The following is a 27,192-nucleotide window of genomic DNA, read 5'->3' on the forward strand; positions in this document are numbered from 1 at the left end:
TGCACACTGGCCACAGCCTAGTGTAGCCAAGCATTAAATCAGCTTTAAAAATGCATTTTAAGGCTTTTTCTTTAGTCTTAAAATGTAACCTTGAAATGTACTTTGAAACTCTGCTTCTCTCCCTTTCCCACTAGACACTCCTTTGCACCATGCCCGCTTATCTAACTCTATGCTTATTTGGGAATTCCAGGGGCTAATCTTGAAACAAAAACCAGACACGGAACCCCTGCGGAATCCTCCAACTTAGGGGGAGTCGAAACAATTCACCCACCACCATCTGGCCGAAGGAAAGATAACACCAACCAGACCTCAGGATAGGTGATACTCAAGACAGCCATTGGATCAAGACACATAGACCCTGTACCCTGCACTGCTCCCACGTATGTCCCATACCAAGTTTTCCTTTCAGAATCCTATGATAAATTTTAAAATTTGAGATAATTGAATGCTTTAAAACAACAATTCACCATCTTCTTGGTTTGCTGGCTCTAGTTAAAACCACTTTTCCTCCCACCAAACCTCTCCTCTTGTATTTGGCTTTCAAGCGGTGGAATCCGAGTCCGGTTACAATGGGGGACATTTACCCAACAGGGACTGCTTGAAACAATGAGCAGTTTAGTTGGGGACCGCAGAGTTGCAGAATCTCTGAACCATTCAATGCTCCCAAACGAAAGTCCTCTGTCCTCCTCCCTGGGGTGGGGTGGATGGGGCATTCCTGGCTGATGAATTGGGGAGCAGGTGGGGAGAGAGCTGCCCTCCCCAGGTATAGCTTCTTCAGGATGCCCCTTGCCTTTCTGGCCCCATCCCTCCAGACACTGGACACTTCTGCTTCAGCCCCTCCCTCCCCGTCTGCTGGTCCCTGTCCCTCAGCCTGTTGCCTCCTAACTTGACAACTGCTCCCCTCTCTCCCCCGCCACCCTTGGTAGCATCTCTCATTTGCGCCACCTTGCAATTGGTCTCCCCCTGCCCTTTGTCTTGTGTCATTATAGTGGAGCATATTTGGGAGGTGGTTCACATAAACATATGTATTTAATCATCCATGTTAACCCAAAGTTTGTATGTATCCAGCTCGGGGTTCCTTGATCCTCTCCAATCTGTGCCAGTTACTTTGCTTCTCTTTTCTTAAGAGTCGAAGAAAGTCCTGGGCTTTGCTCTGATTGGATGGCCTACTGATGGCCAGCTGAGTGGCCTGTTGATTGGCTGAAGCTTGCATCAGGTGCCTATCCAAAGACCAATCGCTGTGGCAATAAGGACCACTGGTTGATAGGCTGGGGCCTGGGGCCCCATGTGGCAGGGTGTGGGATCAGCCTCTAGTTCATGATGGTTTCCCTGTGAGTACTTTCCCTGTGTGCTCATTGCTGTTGTTTATTAGGTTGTGTTTGGTGTGCCCAGCCTTTCCAAGGGCACACCTTGTGTTCTTGGCCTTCCTCTGCATCCTTCTTTCTGCTCTCATGTGGGGCCTACAGCCCCGAGGATGTGGGAGGTGCACGCCTGGTTGTGGAGCAGGGGACTCCTCTGCAGGCCTTTCCACCTGCCCCTCTTTGACAGCTCTGTAGACTTCCTCTCGCTTTTTGTACGGGGCAACCCCACGACTATCAGGGTACCATTGACAGGACAAGCCACTTGCCTAAATGACCATGTGTCCTAATTCTAAGTTCCTGGCATTCATCCAGTATGGCTACTGATAACTGATATGGTTTGGATATGTGTCCCCACCAAATCTCATCTGAATTGTAATCCCCAATATTGGAGGTGGGGCCTGGTGGGAGGTGTCTGAGTCATGGGGGTGGATCCCTCATGAATGGCTTGGGCCATCCCCTTGGTGATGAGTCAGCTCTTGCTCTGAGTTCACACGAGATCTGGTTGTTTAAAAGTGTGGCACCTCCCAGTGCCTCTCTCTCTCTCACTCCTGCTTCCACTGTGTGATGTGCCTGCTTCCCCTTTGCCTTCCGCCATGACTGTAAGTTTCCTGAGGCCTCCTCAAAGGCTGAGCAGATGCCAGCACCATGCCTCTTGCAAAGCCAGCAGAACTGTGAACCAATGAAACCTCTTTTCTTTATAAATTACCTGGTCTCAGGTATTTCTTTATAGCAATGCAAGAATGGCCTAACACAGCTACATATCCATCTCTAGCCCCTCAGCTGCAGAGGGGTGTCTTAGGACAAATACAGCTTCTGGGAAGCCCCTGCTGGGGCACAGCCTCAAAATCAGGGCACCTGCCTCCTGTCTTCCTTGGCTGTAATCCCTTCCTGCCCACGTATACTCCTGTCCTGTTCCTCCCTTGCTCTGACATCCCCTATTGCTTCGTAGCCAGTGGCAGAGCTCAAACCTTTGGTGGCAGACTCTGTCTGTCTTCCCTGGGGCCTGGAGAACCCAGAGGGAGCCCAGGATGCCTTGGTGTGGGGTTGCAGTGGGGAGCAGTGTTCCTGAGGGCTAGGTGTGCTGACAGACCCTGATTGATGACATCAAGTCTGTGCACCTGAGGCTTGGTGACCTACTCAGGCCATGGAGGCCTGACCACATTGGTGGCCCCTTTCCACACCCTTTTCCTATATGAGCTGTGGAGGCAGCTCAGCTGCCATGGCCTTAGCTGACTGAATGAGGAGGTGTGGGGGCAAGGGCCATTGTGTGGCTGGGCTCCCCACCTGGACTGGGCTTCCTGGGGGTATGCTCCTTGATAGGCTTTTGTCCAGCTCCCCAAAGGTTCTGCTGTACAGCAAGGGCTGGCACCTTATGTGAGCTAGGCAAGGCTGCAAAGGCGGGTGGGTACTTGTTTTGCTCAATGGGGCAAACTTAACAGGGCCTGGGCCATTTATCGTGGACAGCGTTAACTCCAGTTCTGTCTGCAGAGAGGCTTTTCTTCTAGGTCCCAGCACCTCAGGTGGGAGCCTGGACTAGAGAACTCTGCTACCCACACTCCTGTGCGGGCTTCGTTCATAGCCTTACTGCCCATTTCCTGCATTTTCCATTCCCACAATGTTGTACTTGCAGAACAGGTGCAAGAACAATACAAGCATGAGAATCGCTTGAACCTGGGAGGCAGAGGTTGCAGTGAGCGGGATCACACCATTGCACTCCTGCCTGGGCAACAGAGCAAGACCCTGTCACAAAGCAAAACAAACAAACAGATACGCTTCATCCTGATTCCTGTATTTGCTTTATCATTCTCTTTCTCTCTGTCTCTCTCTCTCTCTGTCTCTCTCTCTCTCTCACACACACACACACACACACACACACACACCCTGTAAGAGTAAGTTGCAGACACAATGTCCCTTTACTTCTAAATTCTTGTGTATATTTCCTATAAACAAAGACTTCTCTTATATAACCATGGCACAGTGATGGAAAGCAGGAAATTAAAATAGATACAATACTATTATCTAATCTAGAGGCCTTACTTGGGTTTTAGCCTATCTTCAAATCTCTACTTCCCATAGATGCCTTCCACCCTCTATGATTAATAATCCTTTTCTTCATTAATGAGAAGACAAATAATTATCACTGTTACCTGTTAAACATCAACAATGACTAGAGCTTGTAATATAATGTTTTATTATTTCCAACAACATTCCTATGGAAAGAATATTTTTCTAGTTTTATAGATAAAAACAAAAGGAGACTCAGGGAGGTAATGGTTTGCTCACTTTTGTGATTTTGTGATGTGTCAGTGCTGGGACTGAATCCAAGTTGGGTGACAGCTGGGGCGATGCAGCAGAAGGCAGGTCTTGCTTTTTGGTAACACAGTGAGCTTGGGAAGTCTGCAACCACATGACTATGAATGAGGCTTCCTGGAACAGTAGAGGCTGAGTGAGGCCAGAGAGGAGCAGGAAGAGTTGCCAGGAGTGGGCTGCATGACAGTTTGTTAAGCATTTCACTGTTGACATCTGAACCCCAACTCTGTCCCTTACCAACCATCTCCTTAAATTGAATCTCAGTCTCTATGTCTGTAGGGTGGCAATAATATTTTCCCCTGTTTTTGTGAGGATTAAATGATGTGGCACATGGAAAGTACTTGGCATAAGGTAAACTTTGGGACAGCCACTATAATGTGTCAAGTGGATACACTGAAATTTATTCCATCCAAGCGCTGTCTTCCTGATCTTTTTGCACAACTTTCAGTGGAAGGAAGAGGGGCTCCAGAGACTTTCCTCAGAAATGGCTCTCACCTGCCTCCTATAGGGAAATGGTGTCAGTGCAAGCAGTTGAGCCTGGACTGATAGCACCCAGCAACCCAGCTTGTCAGACTACTGTGTCCATATCTGTGGGTGGCTGAGCCTAGCCACGGCCAATGGCTGTTCCTAATGTTTACTACCAAAACAGGGGAAATGTGGAAAAGCCCTTTCCACCCTCTGTACTTGGAAACACCCAGGGAAGAGGGTTGGTGACAGAGGTACTGAGTGAGTGGGCAGGTGGTGGGAACTTCCTTTCACCACAGATTATTTAAAGCAATGTTTCTCAGCTGGGCGCAGTGGCTTAAGCTTGTAATCCCAGCAATTTGGGAGGTCGAGGTGGGTGGATCACATGAGGCCAGGAGTTTCAGACCAGCCTGGCCAACATGGTGAAATCCCATCTCTATTAAAAATACAAAAATTAGCCGCGTGTATGGATGCATTCCTGTAATCCCAGCTACTCGGGAGGCTGAGGCATGAGAATCGCTTGAACCTGGGAGGCAGAGGTTGCAGTGAGTGGGATCACACCATTGCACTTCTGCCTGGGCAACAGAGTAAGACCCTGTCACAAAGCAAAACAAACAAACAAACATATATATCTGCAAAGCAATGTTTCTCAAAACTACTGCTCCCAAAGGACATTTTGACGTTTTTGATTGTGCAGTGGGGAGGGGGTGGGTTGGTACTGACATTTCTACAAAGGCCTGAGATGCTGCCTACACAATGTACAGGGCAGTCTCCCAACAAGAAAGAACTATCTAACCCAAAATGTCAATAGTGCCAAGGTTGAGAAACCTTGATTTAGAGTAATGTTTAAAGTGATGCTGTTGTTTTTCCAATATATCATCTCTTTCCCATAATCTCAGATACGGCTGCTTCTAGCATCACAACTTTGTGACCTTACTGACAACTTCCAAAGACCAAGTTTCTTTCAGTTGTATGTGTCTTGCAAGTTCCTTTCTGATTACATGTGAAACTGTGCCCGACAGGGTTAAAGAAACTGGTAACTAACAGAAATCTTGAGCTTGTCTTGCAGGGCAGCCGATAAGGAAACAGTTTGCTATAATCCCCTCTGCTTATACAACTTGCTGGAACAGGTTGGAACCAATATGGCTGACTGGAGCCTGTGCAAAATAGACTTACTAGCCCGAGGAGCGGCCCTTTGATGTCACAGCCCAAATTCCCACAGCTTGTTTTATACCACCTCCTGAATCTGCATGTGACCCTTGAAGCAGCATGAAGAAGCAACAGCTCATGACCAAGAGATTTTCTAAACACTTCTTCGTTTCAGCCAATCACCGTCCAGCCCGAAACTCCACTTCCAAAATCTCTCCCTTAAATCTACTGCTGCGAAGCAAGTATTGGGAGACAGATTTGAGCCCGTCTTCTGTCCCCTTGCAAGGCTGCTTGGCAATACATCTTTCTTGCTACAAAAATCCAATGCTTGGGTGTTTGGTTTTATGTTGTGCGCAGGCAAATGCAGCCGGTTTAGTTTGGTAACACGTGATGTCACTTAATACACAAGAAACGGGCAAGATATGGCATCCTCAGGGAGCTGTGCCTCACTCATTCCTATCCATAGACTTGCCTTCTTTCAACAACGCAAGCAAAAAGAAGGGTTCATTTGGGTTGGTTCCAAGTCTTTGCTATTGTGAACAGTGCCACAATAAACATACGTGTGCATGTGTCCTTATAGCAGCATGATTTATAATCCTTTGGGTATATACCTAGTAATGGGATGGCTGGGTCAAATGGTATTTCCAGTTCTAGATCCCTGAGGAATCGCCACACTGACTTCCACAATGGTTGAACTAGTTTACAGTCCCACGAACAGTGTAAAAGTGTTCCTATTTCTCCACATCCTCTCCAGCACCTGTTGTTTCCTGACTTTTTAATGATCACCATTCTAACTGGTGTGAGATGGTATCTCATTGTGGTTTTGATTTGCATTTCTCTGATGGCCAGTGATGATGAGCATTTTTTCATGTGTTTTTTGGCTACATAAATGTCTTCTTTTGAGAAGTGTCTGTTCATATCCTTCGCCCATTTGTTGATGGGGTTGTTTGTTTTTTTCTTGTAAATTTGTTTGAGTTCATTGTAGATTCTGGATATTAGCCCTTTGTCAGATGAGTAGGTTGCAAAAATTTTCTCCCATTCTGTAGGTTGCCTGTTCACTCTGATGGTAGTTTCTTTTGCTGTGCAGAAGCTCTTTAGTTTAATTAGATCCCATTTGTCAATTTTGGCTTTTGTTGCCATTGCTTTTGGTGTTTTAGACATGAAGTCCTTGCCCATGCCTATGTCCTGAATGGTATTGCCTAGGTTTTCTTCTAGGGTTTTTATGGTTTTAGGTCTAACATGTAAGTCTTTAATCCATCTTGAATTAATTTTTGTATAAGGTGTAAGGAAGGGATCCAGTTTCAGCTTTCTACATATGGCTAGCCAGTTTTCCCAGCACCATTTATTAAATAGGGAATCCTTTCCCCATTGCTTGTTTTTGTCAGGTTTGTCAAAGATCAGATGCTTGTAGATATGCGGCATTATTTCTGAGGGCTCTGTTCTGTTCCATTGCTCTATATCTCTGTTTTGGTACCAGTAGCATGCTGTTTTGGTTACTGTAGCCTTGTAGTATAGTTAGAAGTCAGGTAGTGTGATGCCTCCAGCTTTGTTCTTTTGGCTTAGGATTGACTTGGCAATGCGGGCTCTTTTTTGGTTCCATATGAACTTTAGTTTTTTCCAATTCTGTGAAGAAAGTCATTGGTAGCTTGATAGGGATGGCATTGAATCTATAAATTACCTTGGGCAGTATGGCCATTTTCACGATACTGATTCTTCCTACCCATGAGCATGGAATGTTCTTCCATTTGTTTGTATCCTCTTTTATTTCATTGAGCAGTCGTTTGTAGTTCTCCTTGAAGAGGTCCTTCACATCCCTTGTAAGTTGGATTCCTAGGTATTTTATTCTCTTTGAAGCAATTGTGAATGGGAGTTCACTCATGATTTGGCTCTCTGTCTGTTATTGGTGTATAAGACTGCTTGTGATTTTTGCACATTGATTTTGTATCCTGAGACTTTGCTGAAGTTGCTTATCAGCTTAAGGAGATTTTGGGCTGAGACGATGGGGTTTTCTAGATATACAATCATGTCATCTGCAAACAGGGACAATTTGACTTCCTCTTTTCTTAATTGAATACCCTTTATTTCCTTCTCCTACCTGATTGCCCTGGCCAGAACTTCCAACACTATGTTGAAAAGGAGTGGTGAGAGAGGGCATCCCAGTCTTGTGCCAGTTTTCAAAGGGAATGCTTCCAGTTTTTGTCCATTCAGTATGATATTGGCTGTGGGTTTGTCATAGATAGCTCTTATTATTTTGAGATACGTCCCATCAATACCTAATTTATTGAGAGTTTTTAGCATGAGGGTTGTTGAATTTTGTCAAAGGCCTTTTCTGCATCTATTGAGATAATCATGTGGTTTTTGTCTTTGGTTCTGTTTATATGCTGGATTACGTTTACTGATTTTCGTATGTTGAACCAGCCTTGCATCCCAGGGATGAAGCCCACTTGATCATGGTGGATAAGCTTTTTGATGTGTTGCTGGATTCGGTTTGCCAGTATTTTACTGAGGATTTTTGCTTCAATGTTCATCAAGGATATTGGTCTAAAATTCTTTTTTTGTTGTGTCTCTCTCTGCCACCCTTTGGTATCAGGATGATGCTGGCCTCATAAAATGAGTTAGGGAGGATTCTCTCTTTTTCTTTTGATTGGAATAGTTTCAGAAGGAATGGTACAAGCTCCTCCTAAAATGTGGCACATATACACCATGGAATACTATGCAGCCATAAAAAATGATGAGTTCATGTCCTTTGTAGGGACATGGATGAAGCTGGAAACCATCATTCTCAGCAAACTATTGCAAGGACAAAAAACCAAACACCGCATGTTCTCACTCATAGGTGGGAATTGAACAATAAGAACACATGGACACAGGAAGGCGAACATCACACACCGGGGACTGTTGTGGGGTGGGGGGAGGGGGGAGGGATAGCATTAGGAGATATACTTAATGCTAAATGACGAGTTAATGGGTGCAGCACACCAACATGGCACATGTATACATATGTAACAAACCTGCACGTTGTGCACATGTACCCTAAAACTTAAAGTATAATAATAAAAAAAATGCTTACTTTAAAAAAAGAAAGAAAAGAAAAAAAAAAAAAAGAAGGGTTCAGGCCGCTGTGGGAGGCCCAGCACCACCCAGCACAAGACAGTACGGTATCCCGCCGCGCGCCCGACTCCACCTGGCGAGCAGGGAGGGGCCAAGCTTACGCGAGGCGTGGCATCCCGCCCCTCGCTGCATTGTACTTCCGGGCTCACATTTCTGCATCCGGAGTATGAGAACCCTCAACCAGGCTGACCGGATCCGGAAGTGGATTGCGAGCCAGGAGGAGGAAGCCGGCGGTGGCCCCGTCAGCAGCCGGCTGCTGAGAGGCCGGTAGGCGGCGGCGGTCCCGAGGGGCGGCGGCCGCGCTGCTCCCTGAGAACGGGTCCCGCAGCTGGGCAGGCGGGCGGCCTGAGGGCGCGGAGCCATGAAGCTGTACAGCCTCAGCGTCCTCTACAAAGGCGAGGCCAAGGTGGTGCTGCTCAAAGCCGCATACGATGTGTCTTCCTTCAGCTTTTTCCAGAGATCCAGGTGAGCGGCACAGGCTGGTGGGCCGTGGCGGTCGGGCGGAGAGGACTGGGGTGGGGGTCCGAGTCGGAGTGGGCCTGGGGTCGGCGGAGGGATGAGGGGAGGGTGGAGGAGGCCAAGGGTAGGGGCAGGGCGGGGTGGCCGAGTGCCCGGGGTCTGAGAAGGCTGGTGTCCGAGTCAGAGGCGGGGCGGGGTGGGGAGGGCCCGGGGTCTGCTGTCCGGGCTTGGTCTCCTATAATGGAATCTGGCCGTGGACTCTACCTTTGAGGAACCAACATTAGCTCTTTAAGAGCTTATACCATTCTAGAATATAGTTCTCTACTCAGTGTTTTTCAAATTTCTGTCGTGTAAAAATTTTAAGGAGACTGTGAAGTAGTGCAGATTTCCAAGCTTCATGCCAAGATGTTCTGAATTAGTAGATTGAGGCCTCGGTATTTATATTTTAGACCAACACTTCCCACCCAGTGATTCTGACTCTGGGAGCTTGGGTGCCGCATCTTGAGAGCCATATTTTGATTTTCTTGCGGGGCTTCCCAACAATTCTGTATGAGAGATAGTGATATACTTTTTTTTGTTTGTTTTTAATGGGTGAAGTCACTGAGGTACCAAGAGGTTATATCACAACCAGCTAGAACTGAAAGCCAGGTTTAACGCTTTTTAGTTGGACACTAGTGGTACAAAAGGATTCCACACGGAAGATGCAAATGAAGCATGGGATCTGTAGGGCTTACAGGCTTTTACTTGTTTCTGGGGCGCTTTAATTGCTGGAACGTGTTAGAAGTAACACAGACACTTCCAGACCATTCGTGGGAGGGATTGGGGTGACTCAGGCACGAAAGAAGGAGGACCCTACATGGTCGGTATCTATGGTCATCTTGTCTCAAAATCTGATGGAATCTGCCGTTTGGATTCTGTTTTCCCTGCTTCAGTGCAGCTGGTTCTTGATGAGAGTTCTTTGCCAAGGACTTGCTGGATGTAAAAAAAAAAAAATGTTATTTTGTTGAAACTTTCTGCTTCTTTGAGTTCTTTTAAAAAAATATTTTTAATTGTGGTAAAATGGTACACAAAATTTATCTTCACTATCTTTAAGCGTGTAGTGAGTGCATTGATATGAAATAGATTGATAGTGTTGTGCAGCCATCACTGTCAATCGTCTCCAGAACTCCTTTTTATCAAATTCGTGTCTATTAAACACATTCCCTTCTCCCCCAGCCCATGGCAACTGCCATTCTAATTTGTCTCTGTGATTTTGACTTTTCTGGCGACCTTAGATAAATGGAATCATATAGTTTTTGTGTGTCTGGCTTATTTCATGTAGCATAATGTCCTCAAGGCTCATGCATCTTGTTGCATATATCAGAATTTCTTTCCTTTTTAAGGCTGAATAATCCATTGTATTATTCACCACATTTTGCTTATCTGTTCATCTGTCAGTGGACACCTGGGTTGCTTCCACATTTCAGCCATTGTGAATGATACTGCTATGAACATGGATGTACAAATATCTCTTCAAGACCCTGCTCGCATTTTTTTGGTATTTACCCAGAAGCGGAATTGCTGCATTATCTTTTAGCTCCTTCTTGGGGTTCTTGGTCTTTGCAGTCTTTACCATGGCCTACATTCACTGCTCTGTGTTGTTGCTTTTCTCAGATGGAACTTTTGGTGCCAACTTGGCTCTGATTCTTTTTCCTTTTTCCTTCCCATTAGTACTTAAGATTCTCAGAGATTTCACTTGTAGGACTTATACCTCACCTGCTTGGGATGCCCACACTAGTTTCCAATGACTAACAGCTGCAACACTAAAGGGACATCTCTACTAATATGTCTTAAAACAACACATGTCCCAGCTGATTTATTTATTTATTTATTTTATTTTAGATGGAGTCTTGCTCTGTCACCCAGGCTGGAGTGCAGTGGCACAGTGTCAGCTCACTGCAACCTCCGCCTCCTGGGTTCAAGTGATTCTCCTGCCTCAGCCTCCCAAGTAGCTGGGATTACAGGCGCGCACCACCACACCCGGCTAATTTTTGTATTTTTAGTAGAGATGGGGTTTTACCATGTTAGCCAGGCTGGTCTCGAACTCCTGAGCTCAAGTGATCCGCCTGCCTTGGCCTCCCAAAGTGCTAGGATTACAGGCTTGAGCCACCACGTCCGGCCTGAGCTTGTTTTCTTATAAGACCGCTTTACTTACGTCCTTTGTGCCCTATAATTACCCGATTCCAAAGTTGAAAAAGTAGTTTCCCAGCTTTTTTGGTCTTTGTATACATGCTGTCACAATGCAGTTCTTCCTTTGTCTCTTTATAGCCGTGTCTCAAATGCTGTCTCTAGGTTTACTGCAAAGCCTTCCTTGTTTGAGGTCTTCTTTTCTGAGGGGTTATTTTGATCACTTCAGTCCCTCAAGATATTAACAAGTAATACTGTGTGTGCAGGCATTGTTCCAAGTGCTTTACACGTATTACCTCGTTTAACTGTTGCACAAATCTTGATTTTTTTAATGTGGAGGCACAGCACACAGGCCCAGAGTCAGGCCTTCAGTTACCTATATGGCTCTGCTGGAGCCTGCTGCAGACTCCCATTTGAGCACCCTGCTTTGATGGCCCTGGTTGCCCTTTATATCACATCCTCAGTTGGAGGCTCCTTGTCAGCACCTCTTCCTCTGGCTGTACCATCTCCTGTGACTGTTCTGTTCTGGATAGATCTCTCTGTTGAGCCCATGATGGACCTTCTCCCTTTCACCCTTTGTATGAGCCATTTCCCACTTCTTTGTCTTGGATGAGCAGTTTTCCTTTTGTTCCATCCAGAGTGTCTTGCGCTCGTTCTGTGGACGAGCCCCAGCAGACCTGAGCCAGCACTCACTATGGGTGTATGTGGCATTGCGAGGGTCTGTCATGTGGACACAGCCATAAATGGTTGTGCATTTCTGCCTGACAGTTTTTGCACACTATTCTTCTAGTGCAGTTCTTATAAATGTCCTGCTTCTTGGAAGTTATTGGGACCTTGAGAGCAGGACCTGCCTCTTGTTTTTCCATTGCATTCCAAATTATGCATTCACCAAAATGTAAAATTGACTGTATCCTGTGGAAAAACCCCCCAGAAAATTCACCTGTTTTGGTGAGCCAGGTAGCAAACAGATGGAGCTTTCATGGTGATGATAATTCATAATTATCAGTATTTGTGCTCATTTATAGAGTGTTTGTTACTAGGGATGGGAGGGAAAGGAATGAAACCAAGAAGCAATGTCTACTTAATGTATAAGCCCAGAGGTCACTTTCCACTGTGTTGGGGACAAGGTGATAAGAAGTAGGCAATAAATACATTTTGTGTTTCTTAGCGTTCAGGAATTCATGACCTTCACGAGTCAACTGATTGTGGAGCGCTCATCGAAAGGCACTAGAGCTTCTGTCAAAGAACAAGGTAAGAAGACCCTCCAACTTCTGTGCGTGTGCTGGCCTGGCTGCCATGCCTCACCTCACATAGCACCCAGCTTTCTCCTTTCTACTGGGACCCTACTCCTCCTCTAGCTTGTTCTCTCTTTCCCACCTCTTCCTTTTCCTATTTATGCAGAATTCTGTGCCCACTGTTGAAGTCTGAGCTTCCCAGATAAAATTGCCCTCAAACTTAGACTCATTTAAGATTAGGGTCTGACTCTTTTGGAGCAGTAAGCAGCCTTCATATCGTATTCTTCCCTATCCTCTTCAGAGTTGCAGACCCCTCAAAAAAGGATTTCCAGCTAGCACTGTTGAGGTACTATATGTATTCTGTGCATCGTAGATTTTTTGATCAGGAATCTGAAAAAACTATTTTTTCTTTCTGATAATTCAGGTTTAGGCATTTATTTAGATGTGTATGTTATACAGACAGATCAGGAAAGAGTTACATGAGTTTCATCAGGTAGGGACAAAGATCATCTCACACTTATGCTAACCTCAAGTCACGTGACATAGAGTTACTGAATTGATGATATAAATGTCAGTTATGATACAGGCAGGATTGACTATATACACTTTATGTGGGATCTCTGTGCTATTAACATCATAGAAGTGAAATCGCATCACAAATATTTCAGTGTTCTTGCTCTGTTCTTCAAACTGTGCCTGCCCTTCCCACGTTTATTACTTAAAGACAATTCCTCCACTGACCAGGTTCTCAGTTTCTTTGGAGGGTATGCACTTTGACCCCATGTTTGAATCTTAATTGGGGATGGTATACAAAATCTGGAGAGCATTGGTGACAACCCCCTGTCCTCTTCCTCCTCCTCATTCTTGTTCTCATTTATCTCTGCTCTTTTCTGATTTCAGGGGCTCACCATCATTCCCTCCTCTTTTATTTGTTTTTCTGTTGTTTAGCATTGGAATCTTCTGGGTCAGATCCTTAAGGACAAGAAGGTTCTTATTTGTAAGCTGTAATCCTTACATTTCTCTTTCCTTGGGGATATGGTTAGCTGTATCAACTCTGAATCCTTTCAAAGTGATGGAAATGAACAATCCTGTGGATTGTGAATATTTTGCGGAAGACCTGTACAACTGTACCTTTCAATCATATGAGGATTTTAGCACAGTGCTCTGGAGGCCTTAGCTGGCAGTAGCTAATCTTTTTCTAGACTAACCCCCCTACTCCCAGTCACCCACCAGAGTGGAGCAAACCCAGCAGGTTGCTATAATATGGAAGACTGAGGCCCTGGGGGGTAATTTCCTGTCTTTTGGCTGCTCTGAAAAGATTTTTTAAGAAAGCAGAGGCCTCTTGGCTTGTCCAGGGTTCCCTAAGTTTGGGAGCAGCACAGAGCCCCAAGGGCTCCAGATCCCTAAGATATAGCTTGGCCTGACCCGAGCTTAAGGAATACACTTGGAAATGCTCCTGGGGCCATGTTGTCAAGGGTGTGTTTTCTGCACCACTGGCTGTTTCTTTAAGCCCTGGCTTTGCATACTGGGCCTCTGGGTATTTACTGGTCCTAAAGCAGGCGTTGGGCCAAGCTCCTGTGTGTGGCCCATTGGGCTGTGCTGCTAAGCCTCTCCACAAGACTTGCCCAGAGCTATTGAGCTTCCGAGTGGCTTCATTTGGCCTAACATTGGATGCTTTGATTTGGGGGGATTAAAAGAAGTCTGAAGCCCTCATGTCAGCATCCATGTGTCTGATCTCTTGTCTCCTTAGACTATCTGTGCCACGTCTACGTCCGGAATGATAGTCTTGCAGGTGTGGTCATTGCTGACAATGAATACCCATCCCGGGTGGCCTTTACCTTGCTGGAGAAGGTGAGTTTTTTATTTGCCTCTCCTGGACTTGGATGATGAATGGGCACATTTATGGACTGGGACAGGGGTTGATGGCAGTCCCTGAGACATAAGGGATGAAATGATGTGTCCAAAGTCAACACATTTTTCAGCCCCCTTCCCTGCAACCCAAGAGACAATTTGGCATCCCTGTATGGGTTTCCTCCCCGGTGCTGTCCCTCATGTGAGCTGGGTCTAGGCCACTGAGTCATAGCATCTATTCTCTGGGATGGGACCCTCGGAGACAGCTGTGCCTTGTGTTCTCGCCCCCTGTGCTTCTGCTCAAGGAGTCTCCCTCTTGAATGCCTTCACTCTCCCCATTGCCTCCTGCAGTTGCTGCATCCCTCTACCTTGATGTCAGTCAGTTGCACCACAGAGCTTAGCACCTAAGCATTCTTTAAATTTTTTTGCGTACGGTGCTAATTACTAATATTAACTCTTTGAAGTCAGAGGCTTCATCCTATACCCCAGAGCACCAAAATACCTCCAAACACATGGAATCTGGTGGTTTCTTAAATCTAGGGGACCTAATTCTCTTTTTTAAAAAATTGCTTTGGAAAATTAGAGGACCAGTGCCCCTTTTTTCTGGAAATCTGTAGTTTAAAATTCAAATACCTTTATTACTCCCCAAGTGAGGTTCATCTCGGGCTGGGCATACTTTTGATTCTCAGAATATTTAGGATATGTTTTAATGATAAAAATTTGGAAAGAACTTTAGCCTAGATTTTCTCTGTTGCCATTATATGTCCCCCTCATTCCTCCTTCCTGGGCTGTGAAGGCCAAGGAGCCTCATTCAGGGTGAGGTGCTCAGGGGTGAAGCCCTGTCATTGAGACCACTGGTGAGTGCACAGTGGGAGGCTTGTTGAGTCTCCTTTGTCTTGCAGGTACTAGATGAATTCTCCAAGCAAGTCGACAGGATAGACTGGCCAGTAGGATCCCCTGCTACAATCCATTACCCAGCCCTGGATGGTCACCTCAGTAGATACCAGGTAGGGTTAAAGGAAGCTTCAGCAGACACCATGTGGCCCAGAATCCATGTGAAACTGAAAAAGCCAACTGCCCTGATAGTTCTGGTCTAATTACTTCTGACAGCTTCTGATGCTGGTGTCCTCTCTCAAGCCTTACTGTTTGGAAAACAGAGAATCTACGTTCAGACCGGGGAACCCAAGCTCTAGGCAGGCTTTGGGTTTCTGTTACATGTTAAACAGGCTGTGGGTTTTTTTTTTTGTTTTTTGTTTTTTGAGTTGGAGTCTCACTCTGTTTCCCAGGCTGGAGTGCAGTGGCGCAATCTCGGCTCACTCAACCTGCACCTCCTGGGTTCAAGCGATTCTCCTGCCTCAGCCTCCCGAGTAGCTGGGATTACAGGCATGTGCCACCACGCCTGGCTAATTTTTGTATTTTTAGTAGAGACGGTTTCACCATGTTGGTCAGGCTGGTCTCGAACTCTTGATCTCTGGTGATCCACCCGCCTCATCCTCCCAAAATGCTGGGATTACAGGCGTGAGCCACTGTGCCCGGCCCAGGCTGTGGTTTTTAACCTGTGAAAGTTTGTCCAGCTTCCTCAGTTTTAGGTTTTGTTTGCAGGTAGCCACTCCAGTCCTGACTTTATTATTTTTCACTCTTTCCTAGAACCCACGAGAAGCTGATCCCATGACTAAAGTGCAGGCCGAACTAGATGAGACCAAAATCATTCTGGTAAGCAGGAAGATGGAGAGCAAGCCCAAGAACTGAGGCGGGGGTGCGATTTCCACTGGCCAGGCATGCACAGATCCATCCTCGTTTTAATATAATAGTAACCACGGCACTCTCCAGCAAGTGGGATTGCCCACCCCTTCCCCCACCCCGGGCATCAGACTGTCTTTCCTATACCCTTCTCTTGGTTAATGGCACCCATTGTTTCTAGGGGACCAAGCTGGGAACCAGTGGAACCCTCAAGTCTCCCTTCCTCATGGCTACTGCCTGTCTGACCATTTACTGGGTTCCTAGGGTTTGGCTTCTGAAGACCTGGATTCCCACCCTGGTGCCTTTGTTAGGGTTTCGGGTGCCTCCACACCCCACAGGTGCCTCCCCTTGCAGCGTTTGCATTGAAGGTGAACAGATTGAAGCACCGTGCACTGACCACAGGGCAGCTTCTGGAATATGGGCCCAGGGTTGTCACATAGGCCCCTTTGAAAAGAGCCAGAACCCTGCATTTTGAGCTGAAATCTCCTGATTTGTAACTGTTGCTTCAACTCTTTTTTTTTAAATTTTTGCATACAAGTGGAATGTAAGCAGCTATCTGTTTTTCTCAGGTTTTTCTCTTACAGCCTTTGCCTCTAAGTGGTCCCCTTGCCTCCTGCTCACCTCCAGTCTGTCCACCAGAGAGTAGTCATTGATCTGCACAACTTAGAACCCTTCAGCAGCTCTCAGATCCGCCCCAGGATAAAGTGCAAACTAACTCACAGTCTCCTGACTGGGCCCTGTTCTCTCTTATACCCTTTCTTGCCCAGCTCACACACAGGCGCCTGAAGGTTGGGCCTTTCTGACCAGATGTCACAGTTTTGTCACTGCTTGTTTACATGTCTCCCTGACCAGCGTATGAGCACTGGGACATCTTTCCATCCTGCTCATGATACAGTGCCTAGTTTATACCATGCTCAGCAGTTGATAGATACCTGGAGTGGATTGAAACCCACATACAAAGCTTTACCATTTACACAGGCATAGCTTTAGTGTGTACATCAGCGTCTCCTGGGGTTGGAGTTGTTGGCCTGCGATGGAGCCTGGGAACCTGCATTTTATAAAAAGCATCCCAGGGGCTTCAAACACAGGTGTGCTGACTGCACTCCAAATAACGTGGCTTTGGAATGAACGATAGATGTGAAAGTCTCATGGTATCTGTGTCTTTTGAAACCTTGTGAGCTTTCTTACCACCTAGGTGGCATTTCTCCGTTTTCTCCTCAAGCCATCTCTTTCTGTTGCTCAAGTCCTAGTCTGAGTACCATGACACCTGGGACACCCGCTGTTTCTCCTCTCCCCACGGTGGGGAGTGGATGAGTCCTATTCACCCAGCCTCATCTAGCTGCAGTTGTAAAATCTAGATGATTGGTGTGCATATCTGAATCAGTTAACTTTCTGTGTTAAAAATTTGAGTCGCTCAGCTGTGTGTAGGGATGAAGGACATTCTTGCTGGCTCCTTGTTCTATGGCGCTTCATGTGTGCATCTAGCTGCTGCAGCAGTGGCCATCTGAGGAGAGAAGCGAGCTGCTGCTTCCTGAGGGCCCTGGCAGCAGAGCTGCTGGCTCTTGTGAGGTCTCCATCTCTAGACCCCTTCCCATGGGGTCAGTGTTTTCATTTCCTAAGTCAGAGTTTGTAGTGATGACATTTAGGACATAGCCCATTTAGAAGGCAGGACATGTTCTGTCATAGTGCTGTCTGGTATATATTTGGGGCATGTGTGTAACTTAGAATTTTCTAGGAGCCATATTTTAAAATGATAAAAGGAAAATAGGTAGAATTTAATTTAATTATATATTTTACTTAACGCAGTATATCCAAATACAATTTTTCCAACATGTAATCGGTATAAAACTTGTTTTTTTTTCAGTATAAAACTTACTAATGAAGCATGTGTGAGTTTGCATCTGAAATCTGGTGTGTCTGTACTCAGAGCGCTGCTCAGTTTGGACTTGCCTCACATCAAGTGCTCAATAGCCATTTCCCACCGCCTTTTGTTTCCTGTGGCTGCTGTCAACAGAAACCCTCAAATATTTGCTTTTAACAGATAGCTCTGTGGGCCTGGCTGGTGTCTTTTGGGGCTCTGAGTGTCTGTCCCAGGCCTCTCTCCAGCCTCTGGTGGCTGCTGGCCATCCTTGGCATTCCTTGGATTAGAGGTGCATCACTTCAGGCTCTGCCTCTGCCGTCACGTGACCTTCTGTGTGTGTGTTTCCGTTTCTTACCAGGACATCAGTCATGGAATTAGATGCCACCCTAATCCAGTATTACCTCTTCCTAACTAGTTACATCTGCCAAGACCCTATTTCTAAATATGGTCACATTCAGAGATTCTGGGGATGTTAATTTCTGGGATGCGGTTGGGGTTGGGGGGTGCGGTGTGGGTCACTCTCCAACCCAGTACAATCATATAGTGCCCAGCTACTCTTTTTTCCAAAGCTCCATGCACACGCACATGTGCGTGCACACACACACACACACACAAATGTATATATAAATGTGTGTGTATATATATATATGAGTTTTCCTGGAGTGCTGGTTATCTAAGCCTGTGCTGGGGACAGCTTTTTGGGAAGTCTGCTACATCCCAGTTAGATCTTCTAGATTTCACGGGAATGTCACCAGGTTCTGTTCCATCCACTTGGACAGTAACTATTCTTGGACCGAGTCTCGACACCTAGAGGTGAAGTTTGTGTGTGTTGGAGAGGAACCCAGGTAAGGCACTTTCCCCCATGACTGAAATATGAGGGGCTCATGTCAGGGCACGTACTGAACAGAGCTGGATTCTCTTTTCTTTTTTGTCCAGCACAACACCATGGAGTCTCTGTTAGAGCGAGGTGAGAAGCTAGATGACTTGGTGTCCAAATCCGAGGTGCTGGGAACACAGTCTAAAGCCTTCTATAAAACTGTGAGTACCCAGCACCTGCTGCCTCCTGGGTGTTCTCTCTAGAGAGCAGTCGCAGCTTGCTGCTTCTGGCACTCTCCACTATGAACGGGTCTTTCTTAGACTGTTGAATCATGGTGGATGATTCCTTGTGCGGCAAGAGCCTAAGGTGAGCGCCTCAGGCCCAGGTGGTTGGAGGCAGTTCACTTGGGCGCCGTTGGAGTCGATGCGGGCCGAGGCCTTGTTCCACTCCTGCCTCTGCTCTGCCCTCTGCTGCTCTGGCTGATTTCTGAACTCCTACTCCCAGTCCAGGAAGGCTGGTTCAAGTTCTGATCACCAGAGATTTACTGTTGAATCTTATTCCTCTTTCTGCTGAGTAGACATAAGTCTTTAAGATGCAAGCAATTCAGCCTTCCTGAAGAGGTTCTTAAGCTTTTAATTTCCCTTTGACAGAAAATATTTAATTGACAAGGATGGGTGCTGCTGACTGCCGCTTTCTCTCAGGTCAGTGCTCATGTCTTCCTATGTGGAGATGGCACTGTTGGCCCATGGTTGGATAGTCATAGGGACAAATTTACTTGGTCTGTCCACACACATTTGCTTTCATGTGCACATTGGAGGGAGATGGCTAGGTGGGATTAGGAAGATAGTCTGTGACCAGAAAGCAAGAGAGAAGGTGGCAACAGTGGTCCCCACAAACCACATCCCAAGTGGGAACCACATCTGTTGTCCTCAGGACCATCTTCTAGGAAGAAACACCACCGTGGTGGTCAGATAGCATTGTGTGAAGACAGGAGTGGGGCAAAGTTAAGATATTCTGCCAATCCCATTTGTATTATTGGTCCTTTGTTTGTACCTGGCCTAACTGTAGGAATTTTACTCACTTTTTGATAGCATTAATGGGGTGTGAGAAAAGAAAGGAAAAAGGATCCCAGACTAGTTTTGGAAGCCGGGGCCCGCCTTGTGCTTGGTGATGGGAATTGCTTGTGGACAGCTTCCCTCAAGGCCTCCACCCCCACCCTGTTCTAGTGCTAGTTTCTCTGCCTGGCTGTGTCCTGTGGAGCTCCCTCTGCCACGCCTGCCAGGATTGGGGCTTCCCTTACTTCGTCAGTCCTCCTTCTCAGCTCCTCTTTGTTTTTTTCCAAGGCCCGGAAACAAAACTCATGCTGTGCCATCATGTGATGCAGCCTGCCAGAGGCCCAATGCTGGAATGGCACCATCATTCACATCAGAACTGCAGCCCCTGGAAAAGAAGAGACAGCCATAGACGAGGAGCCAGAGTGGGGGCAGACTGGCCATTTTTATTTTGAAGTTCCTGCGAGAAATGGATGGTGGAAGGGTGGCGAATGTTCAAATTCATATGTGTGGTAGTGATTCTTGGAAAGAATTTGAGGTCCCCAAAGGTGTATTTTTGGGCAAATGAAACCATAAACTCCGACTGGCTTCTGTAGATGCCAAAGGGCTCTTTTTCAGCTAACCCTGGGAAGGCTCTGTGGGAGGGAGGTCGGAGCCAGCTGTTTCTCGATCTTTGGTATATCTTTGGATCTTATTTGTACATTAATGATATTAACACTCCAGTGGGGGGTGGGGAGTCCCTGATGCTAGGGCTGGGGTGGGTGGAGTTTGAAGACTCTTGGGAAAGCCTCTCCTGGGGCCACTGTTGGGGGTGGGAGTGAGCCCACCACAGAGGCCACAGGCAGGCCCCCACTTCAGGCCCAAGGCCTGGGGCGGGGGGAACAGTCACTGGGTCTCAGATTCTGAGACTGTTGTTTAGCTTACCTTTCTGCTAGGATTGGCTTCCCGCAGAGGGCAGGGCCCATCCTAAGCAGCTTCCAAGTCCCACAAAGGTGGCTTGTGGGAGGATTTGGAAGGAGCTGCATTGTGGGCGGGGAGTGTGTGGGTTGGGTTCGTACCAGCAAGTAGACTAGGAACTGAGCCCAGGAAAGGGGGATGTTTTCCTGGTGTTTGGATGGTCAGCTGGGAGTGTCCATCATCAGGGGAAGATCAAACACAGGTGCACTCAGCTGCCCAGGGCCTCTGGGACACTTGCCTTGACTTGCAACTTGCCTTGAACATCACGATCAAAGCAGCAGGTGCTGTGGTCTCTCAAAATTGATTTTTATTTGACTCTGTGGCTCTAAGACTGCCTTGAACCGCCTGAGGCCTATGCATCTGAACAAGTGGGTCTCTCCCTTGAGCACCAGGAGTGGGTGCCAGCCGGCCCCGAGGATTCCCAGCACCCCACCTATGGTCTTGCCAGCATAGGCTTGCTAGTTCCTTCTTGGTCAGAGGTAGCTGCAGAGGGGGGAGGCCAAGGGTTTGGTCTAAGCTGTGCCCTGCCACCTGGCAGGAGGCCCACTCACTGCCCAAGTCATGGCAACAGGCTGGAGCAGCCCAGGAGATGGGCCTAAAATGTTCTGGATCCCTTGGGTCCTAGTGTTATGTTCCAGTCTGCCCACCTGTGCTCAGGATGCAGCCCTGGGATCCAGCACCCATGGAAGCTTCTGCTGGGATGGTGTCACCTATGGGTTTTGAACCAGTGTGGTATGGTCCTTGGGAGCTCTGCTCTGAGCTTGCCACACTGCTGAGAGCACCCACTGTCCTGACCAGAGTCTCAGTGGTCCTGACCCCCAATGTGGGCAGGGGCTGGGCAGGAGGGTGGGGTCTGCTGTGGGTTCAGAGGACTCCACCTCCTGGCTGGTTTACCTGCTGCTGCCCATTTTCTCTGGGTACTGCTGGCCAGAGGACTTTAGCCTACCCCTGAAGAGCCTGTCCATGTCATTTTCCTACTGCCATAGATACCCTAAGCCCAGGGCCCCTTGAGGCCCAGACTCAGCCTGCCCACTGGTGCCGGAGACGGAGTGGAGTGGGCCTGGATCCGAGGGATGCTACCTCTCCCTTTCCCACTTGAGGACCCTGGGGAGAGATGGGGGCGGGGAAAATGGAGGTATGAATTTGGGGTAAGAGGAAGTGAGATCTCCGCTTGCAGGTCAGCCCCTGCCTTGCAGGGCGGGCTGGCTTGACTCAGGCCCTGTGAGATAGAGGGCCCAGCCCAGCCCCACCCACAGATCCCCTGCTCCTGTTGTGTTCTGTTGTAAATCATTTGGCGAGACTGTATTTTAGTAACTGCTGCCTAACTTCCCTGTGTTCTATTTGAGAGGCGCCTGTCTGGATAAAGTTGTCTTGAAATTTCACAGTGGTCCTGTGCTTTCTTTGTGCTTCAGGGGAATCCTTTCTTCACCAAGCCCTTCCCCCGGGGGAGAGAGTGGCCTCATGCTGTGTGCCTGTGGGCCTGCCGCATGCAAGGGTCCAAGTTATCCTGACCAGCTCCTGTCCAGGAGAGGTAGCTGCAGGCCTGACTCCTTCACCTCCTTTCTATAGACCTTGCTAGCAGGAACTGTATTTTCTTTTTTGCTGTTAACCAGGTGAGGGAGCCCTGGAGTAGAAGAAGCCCTGTCATTGCTGAATCCTGTTGCCTGGTCTTAGCTGCAGCCAGGAGACCCACCCTAGGAAAGCTGCCTCATAGCTGCAGAGCCATGGGACAGGAGGCCCCATCCCCATCCTGATCCCGCTGTAGGCTTCCTGTCCCTCACCGCTGACCCCAGGGTCAATCTGAGACCACCTGGCATCCCACCAAGCACAGGTGGCAACTTTTCAGGAGCAGAGGGGGCTCCACAGGGTACCTGGAAGCTTCCTGGTTCCTGGAGGAGCCAAAGCTGACCCCTGCTTTGGTTGGGAGGTGAACCAGGGGTAAGTCAAATTCAAGTCTCACATCTGGTTTTGAGTTCAGGGAACCCTCTGAAGCCTCTGTAGCCTCCCAGGGAGGCGGGCCCAAGGCTGCTTTCAGCCTGTACTTCTGATCCTGGAAGGCAGAGACCTCTCTGACTGGCCCAGCAAGCAGCCTTGGGCAGTGCTCAGCTTTTCCTGTTCTGAGGACCTGCCAGACCTGGGTTGGGGTGGGATGGGGTAACCCTTAGGGTCATGTGGCCCAGGGAGCTTTGTTCAGAGGGTGCTATTTAAAAGTGATGAATGGGCCGGGTGCAGTGGCTCATGCCTGTAATCCCAGCACTTTGGGAGGCTGAGGTAGGCAGATCATTTGAGGTCGGGAGTTCGAGACCAGCCTGACCAACATGGTGAAACCCCATGTCTACTAAAATACAAAAGTTAGCTGGGCATGGTGGCGGGCACCTGTAATCTCAGCTACTCGGGAGGCTGAGGCAGGAGAATCACTTGAACCCAGGAGGGAGAAGTTGCAGTGAGCCAAGATCGCGCCACTGCACTCCAGCCTGGGCGACAGAGTGAGGCTCCCTCTCAAAAATATATAAAAATAAAAGCGATGAATGAAATGCCCGTCGGTGGTGTCCTTTTTGCCTGTAGCGCTTGGCCCAGTACAGGGTGGCTTAGCCCTGTGTGCTGTGCCCTAATACCTCATCAGAGTTGCTGCCCTGATGGCATCTGCAGAAGGGCCTCAGGAATAATGCATGTGAGGGCGCACGATCCGCAGTGCCTGCAGCCTTCCTGGGGGAGGCCTGGCCTGGAAAGCCTCCTCCGATTACAGCTGATAGGCAAGTGGAGCCCTAGATACCATGCTGGGGACAGACACTGCAGCACTCGTGGGCACTGGCCTAGATTCTTTGCACCTGGCTCTTGGGACCTGCCACCTGCCCACCCACACACCTGAGAGCACCTGTCCAGGTGCAGACCATGGGGAGCAAGAAGCTGACATCCAGGGCCACTCTGCCGCGTGAAGGTGCTCAGGGTGGAGGAGGAGACTGAGGGCTTTAGCCAGTTCTGGGGGATCCTTCAGGCTCCTTGCCCATAGTGGATAGGACTGAGAGTGTGTAGGGGCACTCGTCTTGTCAGAAGTTACTTGGACCCAAAATGCAGGTGTGTTTAGTGTCTGGGACTGTTTTGAAGCCCATCCTTCTGTTTAGGAAAGTGCCGTGGCACTGCCTGGGACACAGGTGTGGAGGGGAGCCAAGGGCAGGGCCACACTCTGAGCAGGTTGCCATGGAGACATGAGGGTGCATCAGGGGGCCCAGCGGGGGCCACGAGGGTGCGTCGGGGAGGGAGGAGGGCATTGAGGCTGAGAAGGGCCAGCATAGCACAGGCAGGTGCAGTTGCTTTCCCAGGCTGGGCCTGAGCGTGTGCCCCATGGGGCCAGGCAGCATAGGTGGTGGGTGGAGCCTGAGGACAGGAGAAACTTGGCAGGGGGTTACTCCTTACTCCAACCTAAGAGTTTGCGCTTAGCTTGGGCTGGAGATGCAGAGGGAAGGCCTCAGGGGTGCCTGTCTCCTTCACACCCAGGACGAAGTCCCCAAGCCTGGCCTGGCCCACAGGCCTGTAGCACCTGGCCAGTCTGGCCTGGTATCTGGCTTCCCTGTCTCCATTCCAGCTCTCTGTCCTGGATTCTGGGCTGGTTGTGTGGCCTCTGCTGGAGCCTCCTGGCCCCCATGGTGGCTGCCTACTGTATCACCTTGCGCCTTGCCTATGTCTGGTGCCCGAGGCTGATGTCCACACAGGCCTGCGTGCCATCTGTCTGCATAATCCACTGGGGTGGAGCCCGGCTCTGTGGTCACTGTGTGTCCTCAGCATCCAGAATAGCCAATACATGTAGCAGGGGCGGAAGGAAACAGCAGGACAGCCAGAGGTCTTGGTCCTGGGGCTCCTTCCTGCCCAGAGGCTGCCCTGGCCACATCCTTAGCGGCCACCGGGGGTGAATGGAGAGGTCAGGGGTGTTGGGGGCTGGGATCCAGTTTCAGTTCCAGCATTCAGGGTGGACAGCGCTGGGCCCAGAAGACTTCAGAGGACCAGAGGAAGAGGTGGAGACAGCTGGTAGAGCTATGATCTATGACTAGTGCCCTACCTGGGGTGAGCCGTTCACCCTAGAGGGGCTCAGGACTGTCAGGGCCAGCTCAGGGCTCCCATAGCACTACCTTTCATTGGAGGAGGGGCCCAAGTAGGGTCTTGGCCAGGGACCGGGCTTGAGTCTGTATTTTGGCGCAGGAGGTCGGCAGGATTCCAGCTAAAGCACCCAGCTGCACTTGAAGCAGTTTGTCCTGTTTTTCTTTTATTTGCAGTTTCCCGAGACAGAACAAAATAAGAATAATTTTTGTACACTTACAAGGCTCAGAAAGAAAAGACAATGAAACTCAGCAAAAAGAGAGAGGAGGGGAGGCCAGCCAGCACCGTGGGCAGCCGACCCCTTGCAGCGCTGGCCAGCGGCCGCCACCACCACACCGCGGACACCTAGCTAGCAGACCGGTGTGGCTTGCTCTTTAGGGGTCATGCAAAAGAATTATCCCCCAGAAAAAAAATCCCCAAATTATCCCAGACAGGCAGCTCCGTGGAGGTGACAAGGTGAGAGGGAGAGGAGGGGAGGAGGCCCCAGGACGCCAGGGTGGCCGGCTGCTGGGCCACGTGCTGTCCGTGGTGAGCCCTGCCGCTGTCCCATGGCCCAGGGAGCCACTGGTGCGGAGCCCGGCAGATGTTTACCCTGTGTTCATGGATGGGGACAGCTGTCCTGGGCACAGCGTGGACGGAAGATGGTGTCCACTCTGAGTGTTCATCGGTGGACAGTCCCCTTGGAGTTTAGGATCCTGTGTCCTGTTCCCCATTCTGTGCCCCTCCCTTGGCTTGATTTGTAGGGGAAGATAAAGAAAATCCTTGTTGAAAACAATGTGAATTGAAAGTGGGCAGGCACTGGGGCAGGAGCCCCTGACCCTCTGCAGTCAGGGCTTGTGACCACCCCCACCCAACCTGGCTTCAGACCCACCCTGCAGCCCCACCATGCTCGGGCTTGCCCTGTCCCCGAGCTCCCCCATGGTACACACCATCACAAGGGGCCGGGGACCCACCGCCTCGAACCCAGGCAGCCGACGCTCAGGAGCACAGGGCTAGACCCTGCCCTCCATCCGCTGGTGTCCTGGGCCCTGTGCCCACCTGTTTCTGTCCCCAGCCCGCCTTATCTCCATAGCTGCATCCCTGGCCCACCTAGAAGGTGCCCTCACACGCACTGCAGCCCGCCAAGGCACTGGCACACCTGACACTGCACGGGCAGCACTGCCCTCACGCCTCCCATGTGCCCTAGGCTGGCTCCCACTGTAGCTTTTGCTCCCTTCTGCTCCCGGCCCAGATTCCAAAGGCACTCCCACTTCAGTAAACCCCTGCACAGACCCTTGTCTCAGCCCAGAAGCTGGGCAGCCACCACCTCTGATCCCGCTCTGCCACTAGCTGCACCACCCGACCAAACCCCAAGCCCCAGGCTTCCCCAAACCCCATCAGCAGACGAATATGCCCAGACACAAAGCCTGGCCTCCCCTCCCAGCTTCAGCTGGGGGCTCAGGGACTTGAGCGAGGCCCGCAGTCCTTTGTCAAAAGTCTGCTCCCCCTTGCGGGCTGCAGAGAAGCCGAACAGGCTGGGGGAGGGCCGAGGGGCGGAAACAGGGTTGGGAGCTGCCAGTGCATCTGCTGCTGGCCAGCAGAGAAGGGACAGACACCTCACACAGGAGGGGGGCCAGCCCAGGCAGAGTCCTCTTGCCACAGCTGGCTGTGTTGGAGCTGTAGCCAGCAGTGCTGTCTCTTGCTCGGCGAGAGGCCCAAAACTAAGCTGTGCCCCTCTTTGCACTTTACTCCCCCAGAAGGACCAGAGCTGGAGCCCTGGGTGTGTAGGGGCATCTCTGAAGGCCTTGGGGACGGGACTCCAGTTTCAATACTCCAGGGGGTGAGGGGCCGGCCTGGGCTCTGCCGAAGGGTTGTCCGTGCTGGGTGTGTGGGGATACCGGGCACGGAAAACCCACACCTAGCCCTTCAGGGGATGAAAGGAAGGGAAGGGAAAGCAGGAACAACAGCAACTCTCAGGCACAACTAGCGGGAAAGGAGGCAGCCCAGCGGGCCCCCACAGCCCCTCCCAAGAGACAGCTGACAGTCACGACAGCCAGCGAGCACACCACGTGGAGCCCATGCGTTGGCAGGAGGATGCAGACACCTTAGGTGTGGGGTGTGTGCGTTACCTACAAACTAACACCGTTCAGCACGCGACGGGGGCCTGGCAGACAAGTTCATGTCCCAGCTGGTCCCCCAGAGGCCAGGAGCACAGACGGACACACGTGGAGCTTGGGTGGGGAGTGGCCCCACGAATGCCAGTGATTTTTACAGCTTTTTCCTTCCTTTAGTTTTTTTTGTTTTTTTTTTTTTTCATTTCATCTGATGTCAATTTTTTTTGTGGTTGTCGTCGTCATCTTGTTTTTTTTTTTTTTTTTTTTGTTTTTTTTTAACAAATCACATCTGGTCTTGTTTTTCTGCAGACACAGGCACCAGGGGAGGGAACGAGGCAGACACAAACATGCGACAGGCAGGCCGTGTGCCCGAGGGCAGTCGGGCTCCAAACACCAACTCTGTCCGGCGAAACCAGGGCGCAGCTCTGAAATGGGGCGGGTGGGTCAGCTCCTCAGCAGCCCCCTCTCCCATC

General features: G+C 49.4%; 2 protein-coding genes across 37 annotated transcripts in view, besides 6 other annotated features; one reads left to right on the forward strand and one right to left on the reverse strand.

The window, feature by feature from the left end:
* On the forward strand, positions 8,600–21,916 carry YKT6 (YKT6 vesicular SNARE protein). Of its 4 annotated transcripts, NM_001410874.1 has the most exons (8): positions 8,600–8,861; positions 12,190–12,272; positions 14,007–14,107; positions 15,010–15,114; positions 15,755–15,820; positions 18,645–18,746; positions 19,176–19,226; positions 19,869–21,916. In NM_001410874.1, exons 1-7 carry the CDS (start codon positions 8,758–8,760, stop codon positions 19,188–19,190), a joined length of 576 nt encoding a protein of 191 aa, NP_001397803.1. In that variant the 5' UTR covers positions 8,600–8,757; the 3' UTR covers positions 19,191–19,226; positions 19,869–21,916. The 4 variants fall into 4 exon arrangements, with proteins under 4 accessions (NP_001397803.1, NP_006546.1, XP_054184398.1 ...); NM_006555.4 differs by lacking the exon at positions 19,176–19,226; XM_054328423.1 differs by lacking the exon at positions 19,869–21,916 and having other exon boundaries at positions 19,176–19,230.
* Positions 8,707–8,776: a silencer, noted in NCBI's record as "silent region_18143". NCBI's record gives its function as "represses an Ori minimal core promoter by ATAC-STARR-seq in GM12878 lymphoblastoid cells {active_cell/tissue: GM12878}" and the evidence as "EXISTENCE:reporter gene assay evidence [ECO:0000049][PMID:35858748]".
* Positions 21,763–22,678: an enhancer, noted in NCBI's record as "H3K27ac-H3K4me1 hESC enhancer chr7:44253740-44254655 (GRCh37/hg19 assembly coordinates)". NCBI's record gives its function as "activates a minimal SCP1, AML or CMV promoter by ChIP-STARR-seq in naive H9 embryonic stem cells {active_cell/tissue: H9 hESC(naive)}" and the evidence as "EXISTENCE:reporter gene assay evidence [ECO:0000049][PMID:30033119]".
* Positions 24,776–27,192, reverse strand: part of CAMK2B (calcium/calmodulin dependent protein kinase II beta) — a 108,860-nt gene continuing 106,443 nt past the window's right edge. For 32 of the 33 annotated variants that reach the window (XM_011515559.3, NM_172084.3, XM_017012665.2 and 29 more), the window contains one exon: positions 24,776–27,144. The gene's annotated coding sequence lies outside the window, so the exon portion shown is untranslated. The remainder of the gene's footprint in view (positions 27,145–27,192) is intronic. The other variant, NM_001293170.2, reaches the window with a different exon arrangement.
* Positions 25,088–25,635: an enhancer, noted in NCBI's record as "H3K27ac-H3K4me1 hESC enhancer chr7:44257065-44257612 (GRCh37/hg19 assembly coordinates)". NCBI's record gives its function as "activates a minimal SCP1, AML or CMV promoter by ChIP-STARR-seq in naive H9 embryonic stem cells {active_cell/tissue: H9 hESC(naive)}" and the evidence as "EXISTENCE:reporter gene assay evidence [ECO:0000049][PMID:30033119]".
* Positions 25,636–26,181: an enhancer, noted in NCBI's record as "H3K27ac-H3K4me1 hESC enhancer chr7:44257613-44258158 (GRCh37/hg19 assembly coordinates)". NCBI's record gives its function as "activates a minimal SCP1, AML or CMV promoter by ChIP-STARR-seq in naive H9 embryonic stem cells {active_cell/tissue: H9 hESC(naive)}" and the evidence as "EXISTENCE:reporter gene assay evidence [ECO:0000049][PMID:30033119]".
* Positions 25,636–26,234: a biological region, named in NCBI's record as "H3K27ac-H3K4me1 hESC enhancer GRCh37_chr7:44257613-44258158".
* Positions 25,922–26,234: a silencer, noted in NCBI's record as "fragment chr7:44257899-44258211 (GRCh37/hg19 assembly coordinates)". NCBI's record gives its function as "represses an EF-1alpha promoter that drives an FKBP-Casp9 reporter gene in an ReSE screen in HepG2 liver carcinoma cells {active_cell/tissue: HepG2}" and the evidence as "EXISTENCE:reporter gene assay evidence [ECO:0000049][PMID:32094911]".

Source organism: Homo sapiens, chromosome 7 (genome assembly GCF_000001405.40).
Source record: "Homo sapiens chromosome 7, GRCh38.p14 Primary Assembly".
Classification (NCBI taxonomy): Eukaryota; Metazoa; Chordata; class Mammalia; order Primates; family Hominidae; genus Homo; species Homo sapiens.